Source organism: Homo sapiens, chromosome 4 (genome assembly GCF_000001405.40).
Source record: "Homo sapiens chromosome 4, GRCh38.p14 Primary Assembly".
NCBI classification, from domain to species: Eukaryota; Metazoa; Chordata; class Mammalia; order Primates; family Hominidae; genus Homo; species Homo sapiens.
Window position 1 is genome coordinate 132,106,671 of NC_000004.12, and position 11,831 is coordinate 132,118,501.

An 11,831-nucleotide genomic window follows, 5' to 3' on the forward strand; every position below is an offset into this window, starting at 1 on the left:
TGGTGGGACTTTAAATTCCTATCAGCCACTGTTGGAAGCAGTGTGGATATATCTCAAAGAGCTTATAACTACCATTTGACCCAGCAATCCCATTACTGCATATATACTCAAAAGCATATAAGTCATTTTTCCAAAAAGACACATGCATGTGTATGTTTATTATTGTAGCACTATTTACAATAGCAAAGACATTGATTCAACCTGCAAGCCCATCAAAGGTGGATGGGATAAAGAAACTGTGGTATAAATACACCATAAAATACCATGCAGCCATTTAAAAAAAAGTAAAATCATGTCCTTTGTAGCACCGTGGATGGAGCTGGAGGCCATTATCTCAAGTGAAATGAAGCAGAATCAGAAAACCAAATACCACATGTTCTCACTTATAAGTAGGAACTGAACATTGAGTACACATGGACACAAAGATGGGAACAATAGATACCGGGGACTTCTTAAAGCAGGTAGATGGGAGGAGGGCGAGGCTCAAAAAACTACCTATTGGGTATATGCTCACTACCTGGATGACAAAATCATCTGTACACCAAACTCCAGCCACATGCTATTTACCCATATAACAAACCTGCATATATACGCCCTGAACCTAAAATAAAAGTTGAAAGAAAAGTCTCCTATTTTGATACGGGATTTGGCTAATCTACCTTTTTAAATGTATATGCCTTATACATTTTCAAACTGTGTTCCTGGGTATCTAAAGATACATATCTCATATATTCTGATGGTTGATGCTTGATTATTTTCTATTTTATTAAAAATGAATATCTTATTCTCTTGTAATAGCACCTTTCCCTCAAAGTGTATACTTTGCATATTACTAGTACCCAAAACGTGTGCAATTGGATCCTTCAGAAAACATACATTGAAACAAATTTAGCAATGGAAACATTCATTGTGGAGTAAACTCAAAAAAAGTAGGAGGTGGCGGGTCAGGGGATTGGGCACCAGAAATAAACGTGGAAAACTGTGAGAACATGATGCAGATCTATGAAAGTTTTACTAGGCCACTAGGGAAACCAGAGCACAGATTACTCAGTACAGAGCCCCAAATTGGGACTCTCCACGTGTATTTATTTTGCTAAACGAGTATTTAATGATTTTGAAATAATTTCTAGATTGTAGTTATGTCATCTGTAGTTTGTTTTTTTTTTTCACCAAATAGTGAAGGCCAGTGTTTTAACATGTCATAGGTTTAAAAACTACATACTGATTCTGCCAGGAGATGAGCCAATCCTTCTCTTTTATGATGTCTGAGCCCAAATGACAGAACATCTCTCCCAGTGTCTGACCTCTATTTCTGTAAATAATTCTGCTGCTGCATTGTTGTGAAAAAGCAACAGAGGTCTTTCCCTTTGGGTAAGAGAGAGTAGACATACTGCTCCCATCAAGTCCAACTAAAAACTCTGGAAATCACATTTATTTTAAACAAATAATGGTTGAAAGACTCTCTTAGAAAGATGAAGAAAAGAAGTAGGCCAAGTAGGGTACAAGGGCTTTTTAGCAGAAAAGAGATAGCAGAAATAAGGTGGCAACACTCCTCCTCCTTCCTGAATGGTGTCAAAGAAAGTCAATTAAAACCGATGGTTTAAGTAATATGTAAATACTTATAAAATTGTATGCAAAGAATTGAGTTTCAACCTTAAATTATTTCTATAGCAAGAATTAAAAAGACATCAAACTGAATGAATAAACAATTTCAATAGATGCAAACACCGAGGTGAGAGAAGTGGAAAAAAGTCTGAGAAAGATTGTAAATCGGCTATGGTAAAAATACTTTAATGAACTATTATGAACATATAGAAATCAAATAATTTATTTTAAAAAATATTAGCACAGAAATAGAAAGTCTCAGTAGAAAAATAAAAGAGATGGTGAAGAACCAAATAGAAATTATAAAACTGAAAATTATTATAGGCAAGTAAAATACACCCAGTGGATAAACTCAAAAGCAGAATGGTGGGACAGAGGAAAAAAACTGAACTGAAATATAGAAAAAAATTTAACCTAAACAGAAAAGAAAAATAGACCAAAAAATAAATGACAGAGCCTCATTAACCTGTGGGACTATAACAAAAATTTTACCATTTGTGTAATGAGTCATCCACAACTAATAATAAAATTTATACTGTAGTAAATTATTTGCTATAAAATATATGTGCTATAAAGTGCAGAGAGTTAATTAAGGATTATCCTTGAAAAAAAAAGAATGATTATAAGGTACTATTTATCTTTACCTTATGCTGTCTTCAATTGCATTCATCAGTTGGCATGTGGATTGCATGATAACTTGGCAGACAACCACCTTCTGAATCAGAAGTTTTGAATTTTCAGACTTTTGGCTTAATTGCCTGTTCCACTAGCCTAATATTTAAGCCAGTCACTGTGTTATATCCTGTTATTAGAAAAATCTGTTGCAATCTATAGTACCTTGTGGCTTTTCATATTGATGAGCAAAATGAATGAAAATACTAACAAAATGGGAACTTTTGGGTTTTCTTTACCTTCCCTTAAAATAATCAGTTTTATTTAAAAAGAAAAAAAAAGAACAGCATAAGTGTCTTCCTGCTTTCCTTTTCAAATTTAAAATGATAAGTTAGAAGTAAAAGGGAAATGGGTTTTTAGAGGGATGTTAACTTTTCTAGAGTTGCCTACATTGAAATAATAGAAAAAAATGTTAAAACAAATACAGTGTAGATTTGTTTTGTTTTGGTTTCTTTTTTTTTTTTTTTTTGCAATTCAGCTTAGTTCTTGTAAACAATAGTGAAATCATAAGAAAGCAGGTGACAATACTGCATATTACTAAAAAATGAAATAACTGAAATAAAACAATTATTATTGCCTATCACTAGAATATAACTTTATATGTAACACAATGCTTTATTATATTCCCTAAGGGCCTCTGGTATTAATAAGAGTGGTTGGTCTTTCTTAAAGTTGTTAAAACTAAGTTTAGATAAATGTTAGCAATTTGAGTTTTCTTTTAAAATTGAACTTGGAGACATAACTCAATTGACCCTACATAATGACAAATATCCGGATTTTGAGAGCTGAATTCCTATATAGTTCTATAAAATCTGGACAAAGAGGCTTGTGTTATATAAATTAATGTACAGTTAACCTTTAAATAACACAAGTTTGAACTGAGCAGGTCCACATATATGTGAACTTTTTTCAATAAATATATTGAATAATTCTTTGGAGATACGTGACAATTTGAAAAAACTCACAGATGAAACACATAGCCTAGAAATACAAAAATAAAAAAGAAATAAATAGATATGCCATGAATACATAAATATATGTAGATACTATATTTTATCTATACTATGAAATATACACAAGGCTATTACAAAAATTTAAAATTTATCAAAAATCACGAATACACTTGTAGAACATACATGGTGCCATAGAACATTTATAGAACATAAATGTAAATAAATGTAAAGATGTCAAGTAAAGTAGAAGTGCATAAAATTAACTGTGGTACACACTGTAGTACCATAATAGTTTCACAGCCACCTCCTCTTGCTATCGTAGTGAGGTCAAATGTTGCGAGTATCTGCTTAAAATGCTATGTGACTAGTCATCTCCACATGAGCAGTTGGTCTCTCCAGTAAACTGCATATCACGGTAAAAAGTGATCTTGTGTGGTTCTCACGTATTCTTTTTTGTGTTTAGTGGAATATCATAAACCTTGAATATCATGATGACACTGTTGCCAGACTTTTCCTTAGTTGAGCTAAAGACGGGGTTCTTTGTCCCATGGCCACAAAATTCAGGCTCACAGACAATTGAATAGTAAGGTTTTACTGAGTGAAAAGCGGGAAACAGGGACTCCAACTGGTTTTTGAACACTCAGAGAGGTCCATGCACATAGCTCTTCCCCAAATTTCTTTGTCACCAATTTTCTAATCATGCTTCTTCCAAGTCCCTGAACATCCAGCCAGACCACTTGCTACAGCCCCGGAATCAGTATATAATCGCACATCTGGCCATTTCTCCTTCCATCCAAATTGCACAACCAGGTGCACTGCTCAAAGTTCTGCCCACTGGGAAGATTTCCCTTCACCACTGTCCTTCAGGGATGTCCTAGAAAGGAGCTGTAGTGCTGCAGCTGTCCACTTTCAGGTGGTGCCTGCATATCATGCAGAACCATCTGTGAACCACACCCTAGTCTTCCCTTCCTCTGTCAACTGATCATAGGGAACTACCCATGAGGCCATCAGTGCAGGCTGGGGAAGAGAAGGCAGGGTGGTGGGAGTGGAGACCATAGGCATTTGAGCCACTTCTTCATGTAACTTATTTGTGACTTCAGGATCTGCTAGAGCCCGATCACATATATACCACTTCCATTTGATGATGAAATGCTGCTGTGCACCACCCACTTTATGGCTAGATGGGTCAGAAAGCACCCAGTTCATGATAGGCAGTTCAAGTCACATGGTGACTTGAGGACCCATAGTCAAGCATTCAGTTTCCACCAAAGTCCAGTAACAGGCCAAGTGTTGTCTCTCAAAAGGAGAGTAGTTATCTGCAGAATATGGCAGGGACTTTCTCAAAAATCCTAGAGGCCTCTACTGTGATTTACCTGTTGGGTCCTGCCAAAGGCTCCAAATAGCATTCCCATCTGCCACTGACACCTCAAACACCATTGGATCTGTTGGGTTATATGACCCAAGTGGCAGAGCAGCTTGCACAGTAGCCTGGACCTGTTGCAGAGCCTTCTCCTGTTCTGGATCCCACTCAAAACTGACAGCCTTTCAGGTCACTAGATAAATGAGCCAGAGTAACACACACAAATGAAGAATGTGTTTCCTCCAAAATCTCAATAGACCCACTAGGGCTTGTGTCTCTTTCTTGATTGCAGGAGGAACCAAATGCAGCATTTTGTACTTTATCTTAGATGGAATATCTCAACAGGCCTCATACTACTGGACCTCTATACATTTTACTGAGGTAGAAGGTCCCTGAATTTTAGTCAGATTCATTATCAGCATGTCATCAATTTAATGGACCAGTGTGATATTTTGTGGAAGCAAAAAGTGATTAACTTCTCTCCTAATAAGATTATGACAGAAGCTGGAAAGTTGCTATACCCCTGAGGTAGGACAATGAAGGTATATTGCTGGCCTTGCCAGCTGAAGGCAAATTGCCTCTGGTGGGCCTTATGGACAGGAATGGAAAAAAAGGTATTTGCCAGGTCAATTGCTGCATACCAGATACCAGGAGATGTGTTAATTTGCTCAAGCAATGAAATCACATCTGGTACAGCAGCTGCAGTTGGAGTCACCACTTGGTTAAGCTTACAATAATCCACTGTCATTCTCCAAGATCCATCTGTCTTCTGCACAGGCCAAATAGAAGTGTTAAATGCGGATGTGGTGGGAATCACCACCCATGTGTCTTTCAAGTTATTCATGGTGGCACTAACCTCCACAGTCCCTCCAGGGATATATTATTTTTGATTTACTATTTTTCTAGGTAGAGGCAGCTCTAATGGCTTTCATTTGCCCTTTCCCACCATCATAGCCCTCACCCTACCAGTCAGGGAGCCAACGTGGTGGTTCTGCCAGCTACTAAGTATGTCTATGCCTATTATGCATTCTGGCACTGGTTAAATGACAACAGGATGAGTCCAGAGACCCACTGGACCCACTGTAAATCAGACCTGAGCTAAAACTCCATTAATTACCTAACGTCCATAAACCCCTACATTAACTGGAGAACCATATGACAGTTTGGGTGTCCTGGAATCAACGTCAGCTCAGAGCTGATGTTCAGTAGTCCTTGAAATGTTGGATCATTTCTCTTTCCCCAATACACATTTATCCTGGTAAAATGTCAGAGTCTCTTTGGGGAAGGGTGGGAGAAAGATTCACTACATAAGTTGTCGGTAATGTGGTGGAGTCTTTCCTCAAGGGTACCTGGCATCTCCTTCATTCTGGGTGTCTGAGTCTGTAAACTGGTTGAAGTCTGGAAATTGATTGAGGGGCCATGATTCTCTGCTTTTATAACTCAAATTATTCTTTCATCCATTCAACCCAGAAGTTTTCTCCTTATATAAATTAAGTAGGAATGCAGTAGGCTTCCTATCAATTTCACTTCTAGGAACACAGTGATTAATTAGCCAATGCCAGAGCTCTACACAAGTCAGACTATTCTGATTGCCGCTTTGCCTCTGCTGTCCATTAAGGTAGCTACATCCACCTTGCCTTTGACTGGTGAGTGCTGCCACTTGGCCCCTGCCACCTCGGGATCCAATATGCTGGTTGTATTTAAATTTTGTAGTTGAGCGACCATGATTCCTACTGTTAGATCTGACACACAGAAAAGAGCAATTACAGGGCTCTTCAAAGTGCAGGTGCTGACCTCACAAATCTATTTCTCAAGGCATTTGTCGAGGTTATATCTTCTGGCCACTCCCAGCTGGATGAGTAGGTCTAAAGTAACTAATCCACTCCACCATCCAATCTCCCTAAACTTTTGGATCCCTTCCTCTACATTAAACTAAGGGAGATCAGGCATTTCCAGCTCATTCACAGTGGGCCATCTTTAAATCCATATTTCAGCTAACCAAGCAAATAAACTATTAGAAACTTTTTTAACTCCCCAAGCTGCAACATTAAATGCAGAGTTCCTACTTAGTGGGCCCAAATCAACAAATTCAGCCTGATCCAACTCTAGGTTCCTTCCACCATTATCTGATACCCTTAATATCCATTCCCATGCCTGTTCTCCAGATTGCTGTTTATAAAAATTAGAGAACTCAAGCAGTTCTTTTTGAGTGTAGTGCACCTCCTCATGGATCACACTATCAAATTCACCTTCAGGGGCCTGCCAGGACTTTAGTTATAAGTCTAGAAGCAAACAGGGGTATTGGCTCCTGAGGAGAATCAATATTATCTTGCCTGGCAACTGCCTCGAGGAGGCCATCACTATAGCCTCAGGCAGTGCAGGATTTTTCTCCTTAGACAAAGGTGAAAAGTCTGATGACAGCATGGGTTGGGGAGGGGATGTTGCCACTATTAGGGATGGGGAAGTTGTTCCTTCTGGCAAAAAAAGTTCATCGGAGTTTACAAGCTCAGTGTCTCCAGCTTCATCAGGTCCTCCCTCACATCCCCATTCCAAGTTGCAGGGTCCCATTCCTTTCCAATCAATGTCTTCACTTTAACAGTAGACACCTGGAGAGGCTGGGAATGCACCTTTCATTGCAGGTCAGCCACTCGCATGATAAGAGCTTGTGTCTGTTTTTCCACAATTTCAGCTTTTTCTCTACAGGAGATAGGACTGTCACTTAGGGCAATCTTAGCAGAATCGAGGCTCAGTATCTGATTCTGAAGCTGGGAGACAGAATCCCTGAGTTCACTATTTTCTTTCATCACTTTGTCCACTGAACTTAGGAACAAACAATCAGCTTCATTACGTTCCTTTGTTCTCCACAGCTGGTCAAAGGTATTATGTATAAAGTCACTAAACTCCTTGCTTCTCATGAACAGTGAATCAGGAGTGTCAAATGCATTTATTTTGCATAACTTTCTAAACAGTTCATGCCAAGGACTATCAGTGTTCATGCTATTAGAAGTAGAGTTCTTAGCGTTTTGGGGTCTAATTATATTAAGCAGCCAACTCCAGAAACTCCAAAACCAACGAAAGAACTCCATCCTTAATATTCAGTTCCTCTCTAACCCACTCCTGGTACCAAAATCTGTATTAGACAGGTTCTCTTAGAGGGACAAAACTAATAGTATATATATATAGTATATAGTATATATATATATACACACACACATATATATATCAGTATATATACACTAATATGTATACTAATAGTATATATTATATATACCAAGATATATAATAGTATAAGTATACTGATAAATATATATATTTATAACTATAAAGTTTATTAAGTATTAACTTACACAATCACAAGGTCCCACAATAGGCTGTCTTGAAGCTGAGGAGCCAGGAGAGCCAGTCAGAGTCCCAGACTGAAGAACTTGGGGTCTGATGTTCGAGGGCAGGAAACATCCAGCATGGGAGAAAGATGTTGGCTGGTTGACTAGGCCCATTTCTCCTTTCTACATTTTTCTGCCTGCTTTATATTTGCTGGAAGCTGATTAGATCGTGCCCACCAGATTAAGGTGGATCTGCCTTCCCCAGCCCACTGACTCAAATGTTAATCTTTTTTGGCAACACCCACAAGACACAACCAGGATTACTACTTTGTTTCTCTCAATACAATCAAGTTGACAGTCAGTATTAACCATCAGACCCTCCTACCTGGCTGTCTCAATACCCATACAAAGTGCCACTAGTGATGCTGGAAGTGCTCCCAAGCAGAGAAGAGTCATAACATTACAAGAATAAAATGGAATTACTTAATATAAACTGTAGATTGAGGTCTGCAGCTGTGGTCATCCACCATTTCAGATAGATGATTCATCTTGCAAACGAATAACTTAAACTTATCTGATAAATAGAGTATAATATTATAAATATATTTTTCTTGCTTACAATTTTCTTAATATTTGTTTTCTCTAGCTTGTTTCATTGTAAGATACAATATATAATACCTATAGCAAACAAAATATGTGTTAATTAATGGTTTATGTTATCAGTAAGACTTCCAGTCAAAAGTAGGTTATTAATTTTGAAGTTTTGGGTAAGTCAAAAGTTATATGTTAATTTTCAATTGCAGAAGGGCCAGAGCTCCTAACCTCTGTGTTGGTCAAGGGTTGATTCTGGTAACTCACCCTGGTGATGCTGGGGCTTTCTAGCTGATATGATTTGGCACTGTGTCCCCCTCAAATCTTATTTTGTAGTTCCCATAATTTCCACATGTTTTAGGAGGGACTTGGTGGGAGATGACTGAATCATGTGAGCTGGTCTTTCCCACGCTGTTCTCATGATAGTGAATGGGTCTCATGAGAACTGATGGTTTTAAAAGCGGGAGTTTCTCTGCACGAGCTCTCTCTTTGCCTGCTGCCATCCAAGTAAGACGTGACATGCTCCTCCTTGCCTTCCTCCATGATTGCGAGGCCTCCCCAGCCGCGTGGAACTGTGAGTCCAGTAAACCTTTTCATTTTTTAAGTTGCCCAGTGTTTATCATCAGCGTGAAAATAGACTAATACACTAGCTTTATGCAAAGGCAAGATCTGCATTCATTAAGCAGAAAAATGACAGTACTGACCAACATGTAAGTATATAATAAGTATATAATAAGAATAGAGATTAATGAAGCTTTTTGTCTTTAGACCTTTTTTAAACAGTTATCATCTGTATATTTCATATTTTATAACACTATAGCTAGTTGACATTGACTTAACTCCAGATTATAATTATTTATATTATAAATTGGGTATATATATATCATTAATCTATATTCATTCTAGAAACAATGTCATATATTATTATATTTTGTTAATGTTATTTTATATTATTATAATCTCTTTCCACATAGCAAAGTCTGCCATATTACATTGTAAGTCATTTCCCTTACTATGTACAACATCCTGTCATGCCAAAATGCATAAATTGAGAACATTTTATTGCTTCTCTATCCTCTTAATTTATCATGTTTTAAATACATGTGAAAAAATACTACACACATACACAGAGATATATGTTATACATTCTTTAAAAGTTGTATACAATAAATAATAAATGAAACATTTTATTAATAGCCATGGATAATTATTTCATATTCAGTGTAGTTATTAGTTTTAAAATAGCTATTGGATTAAAAACAAATGCTTTTATATTTAAAAGAAGACAGAATAGCACCAATTTAAAATACAAAGATACTGTAGAGACAGCTGTTCCATACTTCATGTACCAGGTGCATAAACAATAAACCTTTCCAGTTATAATTAAAATTGCAATAAATCCTTTTTAAGAACATTGAATATTACACAAAGTATTTCCTACTCAATTATATTTTATAATTTTTATTCTATCTCAATATCATATTCCCTTTTTGTTTTAACATTAATTTATAGACAGAATAATTTTAAAGTTTATGTTTAAATCATAATTTTTAAAATATAAAGTTAATTAAACCAGAAAAATTCAATGGGAACATTATGTTACTTAGTCATCTAGAATGCTTAATTATTGAATATTTCACAATCCTGTTAATGAAAATTTGCTTGAGGAAGACAATTTTGTAGGCTGGTAAAATACTTATACTTACTACAGACAATATACAATACATAATTTAACTACTGCTGTGTAAATTAACAGCATGCAATTCAAACTAAAACATAACCATATATAATTCAGGAGTAAGAACTCATTACTTTGCGAACATACTTAATTATAGTTAATTTATTCATTCTTCCCATACTCCCCAAAATCTGGATCTACAATAGTGCCTGGATGTAAATTTCTCATAAGAATTCTAAGAAAAAACATACAGTTACAGAGAATCTTCAGCTACGTAAAATAGGGTTCCTTGAGCATTAAAATAACATTTTTATCTTTTTATTCTACTTGTCCTACGTAGTTTAGGTTATGCTAAACTATACTATGGTAGAAAATAAACTTCAGTATATCAAAACCAAAATATTAATAATAATATGGGACCTCACAAGAGGTCTTAGACATCTGGCCTTTGACCATCCCTTGTATCTATACTTCTCTAAACAAAACTCAGTCTCATAGCCTTATCTGTTAGTAAAGCTGGAATATATTGTCTATACTCCTGCCTGTAAATAAAATAAAATCAATACAGTGAATTCATAGCATTGTCTGTATTGCATTGTCAAACTTTCAAATAGACTTGTTTAACTAACTGTACCAAATTGCTTATTAATTTTTTTTGTAGTTGTTATACATTTGGTAGCATGCTGGAATTTAAATTCTTCATCATTGTCTATCAGGCCTATTTAAAATACCCCAGATATGCTACTGTAGTTATGATATAATTATTTGTCCCTATGTAGTGATAAGTAAACTATCTTTATTTTCAGGCAAGTAATAACCCAATCCTGCATCTAGATCTATGTAGCTAAAAGACTATTAATTATGTCTATATGTAGGGTAAATTTTCTAAGTGAACTTGTCTTCTACTTCCTTTTGGAAAAAAAAATTATATATTTTATATTGTTTATGCACTCACATAAATTTATTCATTATTAAACATTGATGATGAATCCAATAGTAGTGTGTATATCTCCTCTATGAGACTATGAGCTCCCAGGTCCTTGAGAAAGATACTCCTGGGTTCTGAACTTGACAAGAGTCTTTCCAGGAAATGTGTATACACTTCACAAGAGGCAGAGGAAGAATTTGCAATTACAAGTCTTCTAAAGTAAATGCTCTAAGATAAAAGAGGTCAAGGGCCTATAGTGAGAAAGAAACCTACACTTTAGTCAACCCATGAAGCCACCTTGATCACTAAATATATCCCAATCACATTCTCTCTGAATAGTCTTCTTTAATTAAATTCTATGTTAAATTAATTCTACCATGTTAAAAGCAATTTAATCTGTCAGGCCTCTGAGGCCAAGCTAAGCCATATCCCCTGTGACCTGCATGTACACATCCAGATGGCTGGTTCCTGCCTTAACTGATGACATTCTACCACAGAAGAAGTGAAAATGGCCTGTTCCTGCCTTAACTGATGACATTGTCTTCTGTTGTGAAATTCCTTCTCCTGGCTCATCCTGGCTCAAAAGCTCCTCTACTGAGCACCTTGTGACCCCCACTCTGCCCACCAGAGAACACCCCACCTTTGACTGCAATTTTCCTTTACCTACCCAAATCCTATAAAATGGCCCCATCCCTATCTCCCTTCACTGACTCTCTTTTTT